This window comes from Homo sapiens, chromosome 16, assembly GCF_000001405.40.
Source record: "Homo sapiens chromosome 16, GRCh38.p14 Primary Assembly".
NCBI lineage: Eukaryota > Metazoa > Chordata > Mammalia > Primates > Hominidae > Homo > Homo sapiens.
In genome coordinates, this window is record NC_000016.10 from 50,156,664 (window position 1) to 50,177,456 (window position 20,793).

Genomic DNA, 20,793 nt, shown 5'->3' on the forward strand with positions numbered 1-20,793 from the left:
TTTTCTTTTGAGACTGGGTCTCACTCTGCTGCCTAGGCTGGAGTGGAGTGACGTGATCATAGCTCACTGTATCCTCTAACTCTTGGGCTCAAGTGATCCTCCTGCCTTAGCTTCCTGGAGTAGCTGGGACTACAGGCACATGTCACCACACCTGCCTAATTTTTTTATTTTTACTTTTTGTAGAGATGGGGCCTCCATTTGTTGCCTAGGCTGGTCTTCAACCGGCCTCAAGCAGTCCTCCCACCTTGGCCTCACAGAGTGCTGGGATTATAGGCATGAGCCACCATTCTCGCCAGTATCCTTATTTCTTAACTTTAGAAAGTTTTTCTATTTTTAATATAGGTATTTAAAAAAATCTGAATTCAGAGTGCACCTCGATGTTATGCTGTTCTGAGATTAAATATACTAAAACTGTTACCATTGTTTTCTGAATTCTTAAGATGTGACTGATAGTTAGCTAATAGGTTAACACATTGTGGTGGTTCTTGGCCTCTGAACTGATAGTCCAGATGGGGAGAGGAGACCAGAAAGCATGTGAAAATGGACTAGAACCATGGGACAGCTATATAGTCTCTCGCAGCTGTCTTTTGTGTTCTCTGCTTCCACCAAATTGGTTGATTTATTTAGAATGCTGACCTCTTGCATTGCCTAAGTCCTTGATGTTTTTGGTTTCTCCTCTGAACTCTCAAAGGTACTCACTTCATGCTCTTGGTATAGCCCACTTATGTTTAACTTTCCTTTTATTATGTGTTCCCTCTTACACATGACATGGACATTTCTTTAATATGTAGAGTAAGATATTGGATTTCATCCTAAAGTCTTCAAAATAAAACTCTTGAGCTCATCATCTCAGACTTCTTCATGTACCCACAGACCAGGGATTTTGTTTGCTTTTTAAAACATTTTTTTATTTTGTGTTTTATTATTTTTAAATTTTAATTTAATTTTATGGAGACAGGGTCTCGCTCTGTTGCCCAGGCTGGAGTGCAGTGGTGTGATCTCGGCTCACTGCAGCCTTTGCCTGGGCTCAAGCCATCCACATGCCTTGGCCTCCCAGTGTGCTGGGATTACAGGTGTGAGCCACTGTGCCTGGCCTAAATTTATTTTTTTAATTTTTTTTGAGACAGGGTCTTGCTCTGTCGCTCAGGCTGGAGTGCAGTGTCATAATCATGGGTCACAGCAGCCTTGGCCTCCCAGGCTGAAGTGAACTTCCCACCTCAGCCTCCTGAGTAGTTGGGACTACAGGCGAGTGCCACCATGCCTGGCTCATTTTGGTTTTTTTTGTAAAGATGGGGTCTTGTCATGTTGCCCATGAAGGTCTCCAACTCCTGGTCCAAGTGATCCTCCCGCCTCCGCCTAGCAAAATGTTGGGATTACAGGTGTGAGCCACCATGCCTGGCCTTATTTATTTATTTAATTATGAATGAATGAATGAATTAATGAGAGGGAGTCTTGCTCTCTTGCCCAGGCTGGAGTGTGGTGGCACAATCTTGGCCCACTGCAACCTCCGTCTCCCAGGTTCGAGCAATTCTCCTGCCTCAGCCTCCCGAGTAACTGGGATTACAGGCGCCCGCCACCATGCCCAGGTAATTTTTGTATTTTTAGTAGAGATGGGGTCTCACCATGTTGGCCAGACTGGTTTCGAACTTCTGACCTCAAGTGATCTGCCCACCTTGGCTTCCCAAAGTGTCAGGATTACAGGCATGAGCCACCATGCCTGGCCTGGCCTTTTATGTTTTAAGTTGCTTCCACTGATTCTCTTGGGCTTTGCTCCCCTCCAGAACTGGCCATGGTTTAGGATGCTGTCCACCTGCTGCTGCTTGTCCATGAAAACGAGCCATAAACCCTTTTCTTTTGAAAGACTTAATTGTTTATCACTATGGAGAAAGAGGGGATGGCAAGAAGTAGCAAATACAGGGAATTTGCAGAACTTGGTCTTGAGCCCTGGGTCCAGAAACTTCTTCTGGAAGGTGCTTGGTGTTTGTCCAAGCTCATGATAGGTTTCTGTTGGCTGTACTGCCAGATCTGTAGATGCTTTTTTAAGGCTTGGATGACTTGTTCAAAACAATGTTTTGGAGTACAAATTTGGCTGTGGGGACATCAAGACCTTGTTGGGAAACTTGGGTTTAAGGTACAATTTCTTAAACTAGGATGGTGGGAATGGGGATGTGAAGGGAGAATGAATGTGAGAGGTATTACAGGGTAAGGATGGAGATGATTCAGATTCCTTAAGTGGATTTAATAATCACACTGTAGCTTTGAACTTGAGTGACTGGGGAAATATTTGTGGTGTTTTTGGAAATAAGGGCCAGAAGGACTATTGGTTTGGGTAAGAAGATAGTAGGGGGATGTATAGGTGGACCTGCTAGTGGGGAGCTGAGATTTGGAGGGCTGAGATGTAGTGCTCTTCACTGCCGTAGGGCAGTATCCTCTTGTATGTGCCATCCTCTAGTGCCCATTGTTCATCATGTCATAGTAAGCCCAAGATGTTCATGCCTTTTTTCAGCACTGCATTAGGGCTTATATCTGCTTCTCTTTCTCTCTCTCTCTCGCTCTCGCTCCCTCCCTCTCTCTCTCTTTCTGTTTTTTTTTTTTTTTTAGACGGAGTTTCACTTGTGTTGCCCAGGTTGGAGTGCAGTGGCGCGATCTTGGCTCATTGCAACCTCTGACTCCCGGGTTCAAGCAATTCTCCTGCCTCAGCCTCCCAAGTAGCTGGGATTACAGGCATGTGCCACCATGCCTAATTTTGTATCTTTAGTAGAGATGGGGTTTCTCCATGTTGGTCAGGCTGGTGTCAAACTCCCAACATCAGGTGATCTACCTGCCTCGGCCGCCCAAAGTGCTGGGATTACAGGCATGAGCCACCGCGCCCGGCCTCTCTCTGCTTATTTCTACACAGTGTTACCAATGAGATTGGTGTTACTGCTGGGCTCCAAAGCAATCAGACAGATTAAAGTAGATTGAATATGAAAGAATTTAGAGGCCTTTTTCCAAGTGATTTGTGCTCTATTTAATTTCTGTGCATTTGCAGATATAGCCCACAGTAATTCTTAGTGAACTAGAACCTTCAGGTTATTGAATTTTACTGATTTGGGTACTGACATGCGCTTTTAAGAAGACATTAGGTTTTCTATAGTGTAGATTGTACACTAACAATATAATTCATATTTAAGAATGTCTCAAAATTTAGTATACTGTGTTCAACTAACTTAACTTTCTTTGTTTTTTTTGTTTTGTTTTGTTTTTGTTTTTTGAGACGGAGTCTTGCTATGCCACCCAGGCTGGAGTGCAGTGGCGTGATCTTGGCTTACTGCAACTTCAACACTCCTGGGTTCAAGTGATTTTCCTGCCTCAGCCTCCTGAGTAGCTGGGATTACAGGCACCCGCCACCACACCGGCTAATTTTTGTATTTTTAGTAGAGACGGGGTTTCGCCGTGTTGGCCAGGCTGGTCTTGGACTCCTGACTCAAATGATCTGCCTGCCTTGGCCTCCCACAGTGCTAGGATTACAGACATGAGCCACTGCGCCCGGCCGCTAACTTAACTTTCATTCCACAACTTCCATCTTTTATCCAAAATCTGTGATCATTGAATACTGTCACCATTAATCATTGGCATTTCAGTGTTTGGACTTTTTTTTTCCCCCTTCGTCTTTGTGGACTCTTTTTTAACACTCATAAAGTTTTAACTATTGAAAAGCAAAGGAAACGGTGAGTGACTTTTTGGAGTCTGTCTACCCAGTGGTCACACAAAAGGCTTACTACATTACAGGAAAGATAGGATGGGAAAGGGATACTAGAAAATTCTAAGTCAGGAACGGGGGTGTGTATTAGAAAAATTCTGATCCTGGCATGCCAGATGGCCTTACATCTCAATTTCTTCCGTGAAATTCCTGCCAACAAATCATAGTGTTAGAAGTACAGAAGGGTCCATGGGAACAGAATTTAAGGGCTCCGTTGGTGATACGGAACTGATCAGATGGTTCTCACTTGTTCTCAGATAACCTGTATACTGAATATCACAGGAAGGGTATAGACGTCATGGCAGTGGTTAGATATTCTTGCACCTGCTGAAGCTGAGAAAATTAAAGTAATTTTTTTTCCTGTGGAAAGTAGAAAATCAAGCTTTTGTATGATTTCACACAGCTTTCTATTCTCTCTTTTGTTGACTCTGTTAAGAGTAACATTTAGTGGTGGAAACTATTTCAGGATCACACCCACAACACTAGAGACTGTATTAATCACTTACACACACATAGGTATAGAGTAATCTTGAAGGGGCTGTAGGCCAAAGATAATGCTTTTTTGAAGAATTAGAGACTAGTTACCAGCACCTGGTATTTGCTGTTTCCTACAGAGCTGACTGGACAGCCTAGAGTCTGCTGAGGAATTCAGAGGATGGCCAGTAGAATGTTCTTTCCACCCCAGAATATTTGGTAGGGACTCAGCTGCTGTGGAATGCCAAAAAGGCTTTGAGTTTGTTTCACTATTCTTAAGATTACACGTAATTGTTTTTTTGTAAGAGATTATATATATTCAAGTTGAGGATGGCTTTGAGTTAGACTTTCCTTAATTTGGAATCACACAGCAGATGATACATTTATTTCCATCTGATAAGTTACTTGATGATGTAAAAAGACATTTGAGTTAAAGATTTTTGGGAAAAAAGCTGAATGTTGAGCCATTTATGTTGTGTACTGGTTCCCTATTCACTTGGACAATTTTAAGTCTTAAAACAATCTTAACCATGTGCACAAGAGATTTCACATAGTATTTGGTAATTAAATTAAGGAATTCTAGCTCAAGTCATGCTTTTTGCTGAAATAGTTGTATATATTTAGTGCGGAAACCTGTGTTTTCAAATTAATGTAATAAAAGTTTCAATAAAATGGAAGCCTTTATTACCGTGTTTCAAATGCTATGCTAAACCTTTTCCATTTGTTATTATATTAACCTCCTCATACATAGCCCTACTAATTTTTTTACTTTCTATTTTGAAATAATTACAGATTTATAGGAAGTTGTGAAAAATAGTACAGAGCCCATGTTCCCTTCACCAAGTTTCACCTAATGGTAGTAGCTCACATAACGATAATTTAATGTCAAGAACCAGGAAATTGTCATCGTTGCAATCCATAAGCCTTTTTTAGATTTCACCAGTTTCACATGTATTTGTGTGTGTGTGTATATATATAATTGTATGCAATTTTATCATGTGTAGATCTGGATAGCCACTGTAACAGTCTATAGTTCTATATACAGAGCTACTCCATCACCTCAGGGCTCCCTATGCTACCACTTTATAGCCGCACGCACCCTTCCAGCAACCACTAATCTGTTTGCATCTCTGTAATTTTGCCATTTTGAGAATGTTATATAAATGGAATCATACAGAATGTAACTTTGGCTTTTTTTCTTTTACCATACTTCCTTTGAGAGCCATCCAAATTGCTGCATGTATCAGTAGTTCATTTCTTTTTACTATTGAGTAGTAGTCCATAGTATGGCTGAACCACACAATTTGTTTAACCATTTACTTATTGAAGGACATACCAGAAGGGTGGTTTCCAGTTTTTTGGCTATTGCAAATAAAGCTGCTATAAACATTCATGTATATAAATATTTTTATGTGAATATAAAGTTTTCATTTTGGGGGAATAAATGCCCAAATGTTTGGATTGTATGGTAAGTGCATGTTTGGTTTTTAGAGAAACTGCTGAACTATTTATTTTCTAGAATGACTATATCCTCTTATATTCCTATCAACAATATATGAGATATCCAGTTTCTCTGCATCCTTGCTAGCATTTAGTGTTACCACTTTTTTATTTGAGCGGTTCTAATATGTGTAGTGATAGCCTGTTTTGCCTTATATTAATCAATAAAAATAGCCTCATCTAATCTTAACTTTTTTTATTTTAAAACATCTTGGCAGTATTGAACTTTCTCAATGAAAAATCTCTAAAATTGTGACTTGAAAGGCTTTAATTTTCCAGTTTTTCTTTGGTTTTACTCTTAGCAGTAACATTTTAACTTTTTTTTGTCTTTGAAGTAATTTTCAGTGTTTCCTTTACATGTTGCTTTTTCTTAGAAACTAGTTACTAGCATGAAGTAGATCTTTAGCCTCGTTTTCTAAAAACATAAAAAAGTAAAACTGTGGGGTTTATTTCAAAATTGAGAGTCCTGTCTTTTCATATGAGGATATTTTATAGTCTGTTGGCTTGGCTATATTTTAGGGAGTAAACCTGTGGTTAGTGGTTTGTTGTTGGTGGTGGTAAAGTTTTCTTACAGTATTTTTATACCTGAATAATACCTTTAGACTCTATAGAATAGATACTTGATCTTCAAATCTATCCTAGAATAAATTGTTTTATCTAAACAGCTTTGTGACCTGAGAATTGGGACTTAGTCCCTTAGTTTTCCCTTACTGGCCCTTTGTAGTCACTGTTTTGATTTTGTGAAAGTAACTTAACTCTTAGCACTGTCAGGTATTGTACATTCCTGCCAAAGCAAGAATAAGAATACATAGGATTGTGTTTTAATTCTATAATTAGGTGACTTTTGGCTAATTTCCAGGAACTTGGACTTAATAAAGTACTAGTGATAAGTTTGGAAATTTTAGTGTCCTTGTTCTTTGAAGTTATTCACCCTTTACTTTCTTGTTTGTTTGGGGTGTTTATACTACTGTCCCTAAATATAGCTGAAATAAAGGAAGAAAAATAACCCCTGTAATATCACTACCAGGATATAATTTCTTTTTTTTTTTTTTTTTTGAGATGGAGTCTCGCTCTGTCGCCCACCATCTCGGCTCACTGCAAGCTCTGCCTCCTGGGTTCACGCCATTCTCCTGCCTCATCCTCCCGAGTAGCTGGGACTACAGGCGCCCGCCACCACACCCGGCTTATTTTTTGTATTTTTAGTAGAGACGGGGTTTCACTGTGTTAGCCAGGATGGTCTTGATCTCCTGATCTTGTGATCCACCTGCCTCGGCCTCCCAAAGTACTGGGATTACAGGCATGAGCCACCGCGCCCGGCCTGATATAATTTCTGTTAACAGTTTGATGTAAATATTTTTTGACTTTTTAGTGTTTTTATATATATATATATTTTATGTTTTTCTTTTATCAATACGCACTCTTACTGTGGGAATAATTTTAATGTTTTTAAAGAGTTGGGTTTTATTTGTTTATTTTATTTTATAGAAATGGGGTCTCGCCGGGTGCGATGGCTCACGCCTGTAATCCCAGTACTTTGGGAGGCCAAGGCAGGAGCATCACCTGAGGTCGGGAGTTCGAGACCAGCCTGACCAACATGGATAAACCGCCTCTCTACTAAAAATACAAAATTAGCCGGGCGTGGTGGCACGTGCCTGTAATTCCAGCTACTTGGGAGGCTGAGGCAGGAGAATCACTTGAACCCGGCCGGTGGAGGTTGCAGTGAGCAAAGATTGTGCCATTGCACTCCATCCTGGGCAGCAAGAGTGAAACTTCATCTCAAAAAAAATAAAAAATAAAAAAGAAAGAAAGAAAGAAATGGGATCTCACCATTTTGGCTGGTTTTGAACTTGTGGTCTCAAGCAGTCTTCCTACCTCAGCATCCCAAAGTATTGGGATTACAGGTGTGAGCCCATCCTGTTTGTTGTTGTTCTTTTGTTGTTGTTGTTTTTAGATGAAGTCTCCCTCTGTCACCCAGGCTGGAGTGCAGTGGCGCTATCTTGGCTCACTGCAAGCCCCGCCACCCAAGTTCAAGCAATTTTCTGCCTCAGCCTCCCGAGTAGCTGGGATTACAGGCGCCCACCACCATACCTGGCTAATTTTTGTATTTTTAGTGGAGACGAGGTTTCACCATATTGGCCAGGCTAGTCTTGAGCTCCTGACCTCGTGATCCACCTGCCTCGGCCTCCCAAAGTGCTGGGATTACAGGTGTGAGCCACTGCGCCTGGCCTGTTGTTGTTTAAATAAAAGAAATTTATTCTCTTACAGTCGAGGCCAGAACTTAGAACTGGTTTTCAATCTAAATTTTTTTTCTTCTTTGGGAGAAGGGCATCAGAATATTGTGGATATACTTTTTTGACTTAAAAAAAAAGGTTTTACTGGGCTGGGCATGGTGGCTCACCTGGGATTAACTGCCTGTAACCTTGGCACTTTGGGAGGCTGAGGCAGGTGGATCGCTTGAGTCCAGGAGTTCAAGAGCAGCTTGGGTGACATGGTGAAACTCCGTCTCTACCAAAAAAAAAAAATTAGCCAGGCATGGTGATGGCGTGCCCTTGAAGTCCCAGCTACTTGGGAGGCTTAGCTGGGAGGATCGCTTGAGACCAAGAGGCAGAGGTTGCAGTGAGCTAAGTTCATGCCACTGCACTCCAGCCTGGGTGACAGAGCGAGACCTCGTCTGAAAAATTTTTTTTTTTTTTTACTAATATGACAAACATCTTTTCATTTCAAATATATTTCTATACCATTTTTAATATCTCATTGCCTTTAGAATGACCTTGTATTCATAGTACATATGTATGTGATATTCCATTTATTTATTTTTTTTCTTTTGTCTTTTTTTGGTTATATTCCATTGATTTAATGTACCTTAATTTATCTTACCAATTTCTTGTTGACCATTTTGTTTCCAGTCTTTTGTTTTTTTACCAGACATGGATTAAGCTGAGCCTTTGCCCCAGACGACATTATTTCTTTTTTATCAGCAAAATATGCGTGTAATGAAATTAGAATTAAAAGGCAAAAAAGGTTATCCTTTATTTTTCTACTTATTTTTATTGAGATAGTAATTCACATACCATAAATTTAACCCTTTTAAAGTGTACAGTTCAGTGGTTTTCATATATTAGAAGGTTGTACAACCATCGCAACTAATTCCAGAACATTTTCATCACCCCAGAAAGAAACTCTGAACCCATTATCACTCCCCACTCCCTCACACACCCTAACCCTGGCAGTCACATATAGACTCTCTGTCTCTGTGGATTTGTTTACTCTGGACCTTTCATATAAGTGGAATCATAACAGTTTGTGGCCTTTTGTGCTTGGCTTCTCAAACTTATCTGTTTCCAAAGGTTATCTGTGTCGTAGCATGTGTCAGTACTTCATTCCTTTTTATGGCTGAATATTTTATTGCATGTATATGCCACATTTTGTTTATCCATTCACCTGTAGAAGGACATTTAGGTTGTTTCCATTTTTTGGCTGTTATGAATATTACTGCTGTAGACGTTCATGTACAAGTTTTTATGTGAACGTGTTTTCATTTTTCTTGGGTATATACTTAAGTGAGGAATTCCTGGGTCTTAAGTTAACTCTCTGTTTAACATTTTGAGGAACTGCCAAATTATTTTTTAAAGTGGCTGTGACATTTTATATTCTACCAGCAGTGAATGAAATTTCCAATTTCTCCACATACTTGACAGCACTTTTTTTTTTTTTTTTTTTTGAGGTGAAGTCTTGCTTTATTGCCCAGGCTGGAGTGCAGTAGCATGATCTTGGCTCACTGCAACCTCCACCTCCCAGGTTCAAGCAATTCTTGTATCTCTCAGCCTCCCGAGTAGCTGGGATTACAGGCGCATGTCACCATGCCTGGCTAATTTTTGTATTTTTTATAGAGACAGGGTTTTGCCATGTTGGTCAGGCTGGTCTTGAACTCCTGATTTCAAGTGATCCACCTGCCTTAGCCTCCCAGAGTTCTGGGATTACAGGCGTGAGCCACTGCACCCAGTCTGCACTTTCTTTATTATCTGTCTTCTTTATTATAGCCAATCTAGTGGGTATGAAGTAAGTGTGTCATTTGTGATTTTGATTGTTAGTGGTGACTAAAAATGTTGAATATCTTTACATGAGCTTGTTGGCCATGTGCACATCTTTGTTGGAGAAATATCTATTCAAATCTTTTGACTATTTTAAAATTGGGTTATTTATCTTTTTATTGTTGAGCTATAGGAGTTCTTTATTTTATTTTACTGAGACAGGGTCTTGCTCTGTCACCTAGGCTGGAGTGTAGTGATGCCATCTTGACTCACTGCAACCTCTGCCCCCACCCCAGGCTCAAGTGATCCTCCCACCTCAGTCAGCATCCCACAGCTGGGACCACAGGCGCATGCCACCATGCCTGGCTAATTTTTTTTTTTTTTTTTTTTTTGTATTTTAGTATAGACAGAGTCTCACCTTATTGCCCAGGCTGGTCTCAAACTCCTGAGCTGAAGCAATCCGCCCATCTCAGCTTCCCAAAGTGCTGGAATTAGAGGCATGAGCCACTGTGCCTGGCCTATTTTATTTTAAAGATGAGGCCTCACTTTGTCACCCAGGTTGGAGTGCAGTGGCGTGATCATAGTTCACTGCCATTTTGCCCTCCTGGGCTCAAACAGTACTCACGACTCATCTTCCTGAGTAGCTAGGACTGCAGGCATGTCGCTAGCATGCCCAGCTAAAACAGTTCTTTATATTCTAGATCGGGGTGTCCAATCTTTTGACTTCCCTGGGCCACATTAGAAGAAGAAGAATTGTCTTGGGCCACACATAAAATACACTAACAGTAATGACAGCTGATGAGCTAAAAAAAGAATTACCAAAACATCTCATAATGTTTTAAGAAAGTTTACAAGTTTATGTTGGGCCACATTCAAAGCCATCGTGGGCCTCTGGCCGTGGGTTGGATGAGCTTGTTCTAAATGCTAGACCCTTATCAGATGGATGGTTTGTAGATATTTATCGCATGCTGTGGGTTTTTTTTTTTTACTTTCTTTTAGGTTTTTTTTTTTCTTAAATAATTAAACTGATTAAAAGCTTTAATCTTTTCATTTTCTTGATAATGTCTTTTAAAGCACAAAGTTTTGTTTCAATGATGTCTAATTTGTCTATTTTTTTTTCTTTGGTTGCTTGTCATACGTAAGAAACTGTTGCTAAATCCAGAATGCTGAAGATTTACTTGTGAACTTTGTTTCCTTCTATGAGTTTTATAGTTTTAGCTCTTGTATTTAGGTCTTTGATACATTTTGAGGTTTTTTTGTTGTTGTTGAGACAGTCTTGCTCTGTCGCCCAGGCTGGAGTGCAGTGGTGTGATCTTGGCTTACTGCACCCTCTGCCTCCTCGGTTCAAGCAATTCTCATGCTTCAGCACCCGAGTAGCTCGGATTACAGGCGTGCACCACCAAGCCTGGCTAATTTTTGTATTTTTAGTAAAGAGGGGGCTTCACCATGTTTGTCAGGTTGGTCTTGAACTCCTGGGCTCAAGCAATCCTCTCATCTCGGCCTCCCCAAGTGCTGGGATTACAGGCATGAGCCACCACGCCCAGCCTGTTTTGAGTTCATTTTTAAAATATGGTGTGAGGTAGAGGTCCCATTTCATTCCTTTGCCTGTGGGTATCCAGTTGTCCCAGAACCATTTGTTGAAATGACTCTTGTTTCCTCATTGAGCAATGTCGTGAGACCCTATCTCCATAAAAAATAATTAAAAAAAAAAAAGAATGCAGAAGGAAACAGTTTTGCCAATTTTGTAGTATTTACTGACAATTTGCATATGTCTTTACATTCTTTAGCTATTTATTTTTCTTTTGAATTACTGCCTTTGTTCATTTTTCTTTTGGAGTTGTTTGTCTTTTTCTTATTAATTTGTAAGAGATTTTGCAAATATATACAATTTCTTTTCTCTTTTTTTTGAGATGGAGTTTTGCTCTTCTTGCCCAGGCTGGAGTGCAGTGGCATGATCTTGGCTTACTGCAGCCTCTGCCTCCTGGTTTCAAGAGATTCTTCTGCCTCAGCTTCCTGAGTAGCTGGGATTACAGGTGCCCACCACCACACCCAGCTAATTTTTTTTTTTTTTTTTTGTATTTTTAGTAGAGACTCGGTTTCATCATGTTGGCCAGACTGGTCTCAAACTCCTCACCTCAGTTGATCCACCCACCTTGGCCTCCCAAAGTGCTGGGATTACAGTTGTGAGCCACCGTGCCTGGACCTCCCACATTATTTTGAAACAAATTCCATATCACATAATTTCTTTTTTTTGAGACAGAGTCTCGCTCTGTCACCCAGGCTGGAATGCTGTGGCGTGACCTGTGCTTACTGTACCTTCTGCCTCCTAGGTTCAAGCGATTCTCCTGCCTCAGTCTCCTGAGTAGCTGGGATTACAGGCACGCACCACCACACCTGGCTAGTTTTTGTATTTTTAGTAGAGATGGGGTTTCAACATGTTGGCCAGGCTGGTCTTGAACTCCTGGCCTCAGGTGGTCCGTCCACTTCGGCCTCCCAAAGTGCTGGGATTACAGGCTTGAGCCACTGCACCCAGCCAATATCATATAATTTCATATAAATAGTTCTTTGTGTATCTTTAGATAAGGACTTAAAAGAAGGCATAATCGTAACACCATTATTAATACCTAAAAGAAGTGAGCAATAAATAATTCATTTGCCGTATCAAATATCCAATGTTCATATTTCCTCCATTGTCCCATAATAATTTTTAAAAGTTTGCTCAAATCAAAATCCAAACAAGATTATTTCAAAGCATTGTTTGAGGTACATTTTAAATCTTAATTTATAGATTTCTCTGCTGTCTCTTTTCCCCCATATTTATTTGTTGAAGAAACCAAGCGTTGTTTCCTGTGGACTTTCCTACTCTCTGGATTTTGCTGGTTATATTCCTCTGGTATCAGTTTACTATGATCCCTTTTTCCCCTGTATTTTCTGTAAATTTGTAACTAGATCTAGAGATTTGTTTAGATTTTGTGGGTTTTTTTTTTTTTTTTTTTTTTTTTTGCAAAAATGCATCATAAATGGTGGTGTGTACATCTCTCAGAAGACACATATCTTAATGTCTTTTTGTGGTATTAGTTATTAATGATTACTGCCTATATTTATTAATTCATTATTTGGATTGTAAGTTTATGATAGTCTCTTGATGCTTTTTCTGTTGTTAGCTGGAATGCTTCTAAAAGGAGAAGGCTTTCCTCTTCAAGCTACTTGGTTGTCTTGAGGGTTTGCTTCTTATAGGGAAAGCAGGCTAAGGGTGAAAAAGGAAATAGTTTCTAACTGGGTCTGTTAATGAGCTGTCACCCCAGGCAAAGAGAAGCAAGGCAGGTCACAGGAAAGTGAAGTGGGCTTGGGATGATTGGTGCCCCATGCGTGCATGCATGAAGGGAAGTTAATCCTCCCTGTAGTGAACTCTACTGGGCTTTTGGTCAGTAGCCAAGACTGTCAAGGAAGACCTTTGTCAGAAGCCATACCTGGCCTTTGCTTTTAGCTGTTGGTAGCTGAAGGAAACCAGAACAGACCTATGACCTGTGAACTTCTGCTCAGTAGACAAAGTTCTCTCAGCCTAAATTCAGTAAGCAGGAGTAAGATGCTTGCTTTCCCTTGAAGTGAAACGTGAATTATATGTTTCTTCAACTTGTGCTAATATTCTTTTTTTTTTTGAGATGGAGTCTCACACTGTCTCCCAGGCTGGAGTGCAGTGGTGCAATCTCCGCTCACTGCAACCTCAGCCTCCCGAGTAGCTGGGATTACAGGCGCCTGCCACCACGCCTGGCTAATTTTTTGTATTTTTAGCAGAGATGGGGTTTCACTATGTTGGCCAGGCTGGACTTGAACTCCTGACCTCACGATCTGCCTGCCTCGGTCTCCCAAAGTGCTGGGATTACAGGCGTGAGCCACCACACCTGGGCAACTTGTGCTAATATTCTTAACCTTCATGTGAATCATTCCTGCCCTCAGGCTAGCATAACCCATACAGCCTTCCTTATAGGAAGATTTCCTACTGGGAGTGAATTTGTCCAGTGATTCCCCCAAGATATCCCCCAATCAAATATTTTAAAAGTCATCATTTACATGTAAAAACTATGTAACAAGCATGGTAGCAGCAGCGTTAAAGAAATGGCAGTATGGCCCCTGTAAGGGAAGGCTCCAGAAGATGAGCCGCACTCAGCCTCTAGGTCACAGCTACCTTAGGAGTTTGCAGTTGTTCCTGGGGAAGTCAGTAGACAAAGCTATCTCTCAGGCCTGGGCAAGATAGGGATTTTTTTTTTTTCTTTGAGATGGAGTCTCACCCTGTCATCCAGGCTGGAGTGCAGCAGCATGATCTCGGTTCACCACAACCTCCACCTCCTGGGTTCAAGTGATTTTACTGCCTCAGCCTCCTGAGTAGCTGGGACTACAGGTGCGGGCCATCATGCCTGGCTCATTTTTGTATTTTTAGTAGAGATGGGGTTTCACCATGTTGGCTAGGCTAGTCTCAAACTCCTGACCTCAGGTGATCCACCTGCCTCCCAGAGTGCTGGGATTATAGGCATGAGCCACTGTGCCCAGTGTTTTTTTTTTTTTAATTGTAGTGACAGGATCTCACTTTGTTTCCTGGGCTATTCCCAAACTCCAGGCCTCAAGCCGTCCTCCTACCTTAGCCTCCCAGAGTGCTGGGGTTACAGGTTTGACCCACTGTGCCTAGTCTCAGAATTCATGTTTTTAAAAGTCACTCTGTGCCAGGCTCATGCCTGTAATCCTAATACTTTGGGAGGCTGAGGCAGGAGGGTTGCTTGAGCCCAGGAGTTTGAGACCAGCCTGGAAACCATAGCAAAATCCTAACTCTACAAAAAATACAAAAAATAGCCAGGTGTGGTGGCATGCACCTGTAGTCCCGGTTACTTGGGAGGCTGAAGTGCAAGGATCGCTTGAGCCTAGGAAGTTGAGGCTGCAGTGAGCTGTGATCATGCCACTGCACAACAGCCTGGGCAACAGAGTGAGAAGTAACTCTGGCTGTGGTGGGGAAAGTGGATTAGTGGAGAATGGAAGCTGGGAAACATGGTGGTTCTTGCTAAGTCAGTATCAAGGGATCACAGATGAGGGGGCTATTTCGTCCTAATAAGGGCCTTGGTCTCCCAGATAGTCATGGATTTTTCTATTTAGAAGCTCCTTCTCAGTTTTTCTTGCCCAAGGCATATACGGTTGATATTTGTACAACACAGGCTGGATCTGTATGGGTCCACTTATATGTGGATTTTTTTTCAACCAAACTTGGATTAAAAATATAGTTGTAGGCCAGGCACAGTGACTTATGCCTGTAAGCCTAGCACTTTGGGAGCCCAAGGCAGGCGGATCAGCTGAGGTCAGGAGTTTGAGACCAGCCTGGCCAATGTGGTGAAACCATGTGCCTACTAAAAATACAAAAAATAGCTGGGTGTGGTGGTGTGCACTTGTAATCCCAGCTACTCAGGAGGCTGAAGCCAGAGAATTGCTTGAACCCGGGAGGTGGAGGTTGCAGTGAGCTAACGCAGCAGAGGTTGCAGTGAGCTAACGCAGCAGAGGTTGCAGTGAGCCAACGGGGTGGAGGTTGCAGTGAGCCAAGATTGCACCACCACACTCTAGCCTGTGTGACAGAGCAAGACTCTGTCTCAAAAATAAATAAATAAAAATACAGTGTAGGCCAGGTATAGTGGCTCATGCCTATAATCCCAGAACTTTGAGAGGCCAAGGCAGGCAGATCAGTTGAAGCCAGGAGTTTGAGACCAACCTGGCTAACATGGTAGAACCCCACCTCTACTAAACAGAAGTACAGAAATTAACCAGGCATAGGTGGTGCATGCCTGTAATCCCAGCTGCTTGCTAAACTGAGGCAGGAGAATTGGGAGGCAGAGGTTGCAGTGAGCTACGATTGTGCCACTGGACTCCAGACTGGGTGACAGAGCGAGACTCTGTCTCCAAGAGAAAAAAAAAAATTGTACTTACAGGACATGAAACCCACCTGTACGGTGTGCTGACTGGGAGACTGGAGTATGCATAGTTCTTGGTAAACAAGGGGATTCCTGAAACCAATCCCCTGAGTATATGGAGGGTTGACTATATATTTTAATAGAATTTATTACTTTTTTTTTTTTTTTTAGCAGTTTTAGGTTTATGGAAAAATTGAGCAGGAGTACATAGTTTCTCTATCTCCCTCACATTTCCCCATTACTAGCATCTTGAAATAGTGTGGTACATTTGTTACAACTGAAGAGCCAAATATTGATACATTACTGTTAACTAAGGTCCGTAATTTACTTTAGAGTTCACTCTTGGTGTTGCAGTTTCTATGAGTGTTGGCAAATATATCATGACATGTATCTAGCATTATAGTATCATATTGAGTAGTTTCACTGCCCTAAAAATCCCCTTTGTTCCACCTTTTCATCCCTCCATCTACCTGAACCCCTGATAACCACTGATCCTTTTACAGTCTCTATAGTTTTACCTTTTACAGAATGTCATATAGTTGGAATCATACAGATTGGCTTCTTTCCATGTTCCTTCCTGGCTTGATAGCTCTTTTCTTTTTTTTGAGATGGAGTCTCGCTCTCGCCCAGGCTGGAGTGCAGTGGCGCAATCTTGGCTCACTGCAAACTCTCCGCCTCCTGGGTTCAAGCAATTCTCCTGTCTCAGCCTCCCAAGTAGCTTGGACTACAGGCGCATACCTCCCCTGCCTGGCTAATGTTTGTATTTTTGGTAAAGGTGGGGTTTTACCATATTGGTCAGGCTGGTCTCAAACACCTGTCCTCAGGTGATCCACCCACCTCGGCCTCCCAAAGTGCTGGGATTACAGGCGTGAGCCACCCTGCCCTGCCAGCTCTTTTTTTTGTACTGCTGAATAATACTCCATTGTATAGGTGTATGAGTTTATCTATTCACCTTCTGAAGGACATTTTGGTTGCTCCTAAGTTTTGGCAATTATGCATGAAGTTACTATAAACATCTGTGTGTAGGTTTTTGTGTGGTCATGTTTTTAGCTCATTTGGATAAATACCAAGGAGCACGATTGTTGGATCGTATGGTAAGAGTATGTTTAGTTTTGTAAGAAACTGCCAAACTGTCTTTCAGGGTGACTGTACCATTTTGCATTCCCACCAGCAATGAATCAAGTTCCTGTCGCTCCACATCCTCGTTAGCATTTGGTGTTGTCAGTGTTTTGGCTTTTCACCATTCTAATAGATATGTAGTGATATCTTGTCTTACTTTGCAGTTCTCTAATGACGTATGATGTTGAGCATCTTTTCATCTGCTTATTTGTTGTTGTTGTTGTTGTGTTGTTCATTGAAATGGAATCTCGCTCTATTGCCCAGGCTGGAGTGCAATGGTACAATCTTGGCTCACTGCAACCTCTGCCTCCTGGGTTCAAGTGATTCTCCTGCCTCAGCTCCCCAGGTAGCTGGGATTACAGGCGCCCGCCACCATGCCCGGCTAGTTTTTGTATTTTTAGTAGAGACAGGATTTCACCATGTTGGCCAGGCTGGTCTTGAACTCCTGACCTTAGGTGATCTGCCCGCCTCGGCCTCCCAAAGTGCTGGGATTACAGGCGTGAGCCACTGCGCCTGGCTTTCATCTGCTTATTTGATATGTGTATATGTTATTTGGCAAAGTATCTGTTCTGATCTTTTGCCCATTTTTTAATCAGATTGTTCTTTTATTGCTTCTGGGGTTCTTTTTGTTTGCTTTTTTTGAGACAGAGTCTTGCTCTGTCGCCCAGTCTGGAATGCAGTGGCATGATCTCAGCTCACTGCGACCTCTGCTTCCTGGGTTCAAGTGATTCTTGTGCCTTAGCCTCCCAAATAGCTGGGATTACAAGCATGTGCCACTGCACCTGGCTAATTTTTGTATTTATAGTAGGGACAGGGTTTTGCCATGTTGGCCAGGCTGGTCTTGGACTCCTGGTCTTCAGTGATCCACCCACCTTTGCCTCCCAAAGTAATGAGATTACAGGCGTGAGCCACCATGCCCGGCTTATTGTTAAGTTTTAAGAGTTCTTTGTATATGTGTATTTTTTGATTCTTTTAAAATTAATACTTAATAAAATAATTGTACATATTTATGGGATGCATGTGATATTTTGATACATGCATACAATGTGGATCAAATCAAGGTAATTAGAGTATTACCTCAAACATTTGTCATTTCTTTATGTTGGGAACATTTCAAAATGTCTAGCTATTTTGAAATATACAATAAATTATTATCTATAAGTCACCTCATTGTGCTGTCAAACATTAGAACTTATTCTTTCTACCTGGCTTTATTTTTTTTACCCCTTAACCAACCATTCTTCATCAGCTCCCCGTCTCCCCTACTCTTTTTTTTTTTTTTTTTTTTTGATACGGAGTCGCTCTGTTACCCAGGCTAGAGTACAGTGGCACAATCTCGACTCACTGCAGCTTCCGCCTCCCAGGTTTAAGCAATTCTCTGCCTCAGCCTCCCGAGTAGCTGGGATTACAGGCGAATGCTACCACACCCGACTAATTTTTATATTTTTAGTAGAGATGGGGTTTCACCATCTTAGCCAGACTGGTCTTGAACTCTTGACCTCCTGATCCACCCGCCTCAGCCTCCCAAAGTGCCGGGATTACAGGGGTGAGCCACCATGCCTGGCCCCTCTTACTCTTTTCTTAGCCTCTGGTATCTATCATTCTACTCTCTACTTCTATGAGATCAACTTTTTTTTAGCTCCCACATATGAGTAAGAACATGTAATATTTCTCTTTCTGGGTCTGGCTTCTTTGTATATTTTGGATAATAAGTCTTTTATTAGATACGTGTTTTGCAAATATTTTTTCCGAGTCCGTGACTTATCTTTTCATTCTCTTAAATAGTGTCTTTTGCAGAGCACACATTATACATTTTAGTGCAGTCCAGTTTACCAATTCTTTCTTTGATGGATTTTGCTTTTGGTATTGTGTCTAGAAAGTCTTCGCCAAACCACAGTCATCTAGAGTTCCCCTTATATTATCTTACAGGAGTTTTATAGTTTTTGTTTTACATTTAGGTCTGTGATCTATTTTAAGTTAATTTTTATGTGAAAGATATAAGATCTATGTCTGGATTCTCTCTTTTTTTGAGATGGAGTCTCGCTTTGTCGCCAGGCTGAAGTGCAGTGGCGCGATCTCGGCTCACTGCAACCTCTGACTCCCTGGTTCAAGGGATTCTCCTGCCTCAGCCTCCCGAGTAGCACATGACACCACGCCCAGCTAATTTTTGTATTTTGAGTAGAGACGGGGTTGCACCATGTTGGCCAGGATGGTCTTGATCTCTTGACCTCGTGATCCGCCCGCCTCAGCCTCCCAAAGTGCTGAGATTACAGGCATGAGCCACCACGTCCGGCCAGTTTTTTTGTTTTATTTATTTATTTATTTGAAACAGGGTCTTGTTCTGTTGCCCAGGCTGCAGTATAGTGACACCATCAAGGCTTCGTTGCAGCCTTGACCTCCTAGGGTCAAGTTATCTTCTTGCTTCAGCCTCCTGAGTAGCTGGGACTACAGGTGAGCACCACTCTGACCAGGTACTTTTTAAATTTATTTTAGAGACAGGGTTTTACCATGTTGCCCAGGCTGGTCTTGAACTCCTGGGCTGAAATGCCCCTCCTACCTTGGCCTCCCAAAGTGTTGGGATTACAGACATGAGGCACTCAGCCCAGCCAATATAATTCTTTTTTTTTTTTTTGAGACAGTCTTACTCTGTTGCCCAGGCTGGAGTGCAGTGGCATGATCACAGCTCACTGCAACCTCTGCCTCCTGGACTCAAGCTGTCCTCCCACCTCAGCCTCCCAAGCAGCTGGGATTATGGGTGCCCATGACCACACCCAGCTAAGTTTTTAAATTTTTTTAGAGATTGAATCTTTCTTTTTCTCAGCCTGGTCTCAAACTCCTGAGCTCATATGATCTGCCCGCCTCCGTCTCCCAAAGTGCTGCGATTACAGGCATGAACCACTACGCCCAGCCTACAATTTATTTGTAATCCAAGTTTTATTGAAAAAAAAATCCACATATAAGTGGACATATGTAGATCCAACCTGTGTTGTTCCAGTGTCAACCATATATACCAATAATTCTTTTTTTTTTTTTTTTTTTTTTTTTTTTTTGAGATGGAGTCTTGCTCTGTCGCCCAGGCTGGAGTGCAGCGGTGCAATCTCATCTCACTGCAACCTCTGCCTCCCGGGTTCAAGTAATTCTCCTGCCTCAGCCTCCTGAGCAGCTGGGACTACAGGCATGCACCACCACGCCCAGATAATTTTTGTATTTTTAGTAGAGATGGGGTTTCACCATATTGGCCAGGCTGGTCTCAAACTCCTGACCTCAAGTGATCCACCCGCCTTGGCCTCCCAAAGTGTTGGGATTACAGGAGTGAGCCACTGTGCCTGGCCTATAATTCTTTACGTATATTGTTAGATTCAGTTTGCTAGTATTTTATTTAGCATTTGTGTATCTGTGTTCATGAGAGGTATTGTTCTGTAGTTTTCTTTGGTTTCTTTTCTGTCTGGTTTAGGGTAATGCTGGCCTCATAGAATAGGTTAGGAAATATTTCCTCTGCTTCTGTTTCTGAAAGAGAATTGAGGTAATATCTATTTTTTTTTTTTTGAGATGGAATCTTGCTCTGTCGCCTAGGCTGGAGTGTAGTGGCGCAATCTTGGTTCACTGCAACCTCTGCCTCCCAGGTTCAAGTGATTCTCCTGCCTCAGTCTCCTGAGTAGCTAGAATTACAGGCATGCACCACCATGCCTGGCTAATTTTTGTATTTTTAGTAGAGATGGGGTTTCACTATGTGGGCCAGGCTGGTCTTGAACTTCTGATCTCAGGTGATCCACCTGTCTTGTCCTCCCAATGTGCTGGGATTACAGGCGTGAGTCACTGTGCCTGGCCCGAGATAATATCTAATTTAACAGTTTGGTAGAATTCACCAGTGAACCCATCTGGGCCTGGTGCCTTTTGCTTTAGAAGGTTATTGATTATTGATTCAATTTCCTTAATAGATAAAGGTGCATTGAGATTGTCTTTTCTTCTTGGGTAAGTTTTA

The 20,793-nt window shown here is 41.8% G+C and overlaps 1 protein-coding gene across 10 annotated transcripts in view, besides 1 other annotated feature; it reads left to right on the forward strand.

Annotated features, from left to right (window-relative positions):
• Positions 1–20,793, forward strand: part of TENT4B (terminal nucleotidyltransferase 4B) — an 82,400-nt gene that overhangs the window by 3,753 nt on the left and 57,854 nt on the right. The window lies entirely within an intron of this gene.
• Positions 13,082–13,282: a silencer, noted in NCBI's record as "peak2589 fragment used in MPRA reporter construct". NCBI's record gives its function as "represses an SCP1 promoter by STARR-seq MPRAs in K562 erythroleukemia cells {active_cell/tissue: K562}" and the evidence as "EXISTENCE:reporter gene assay evidence [ECO:0000049][PMID:32103011]".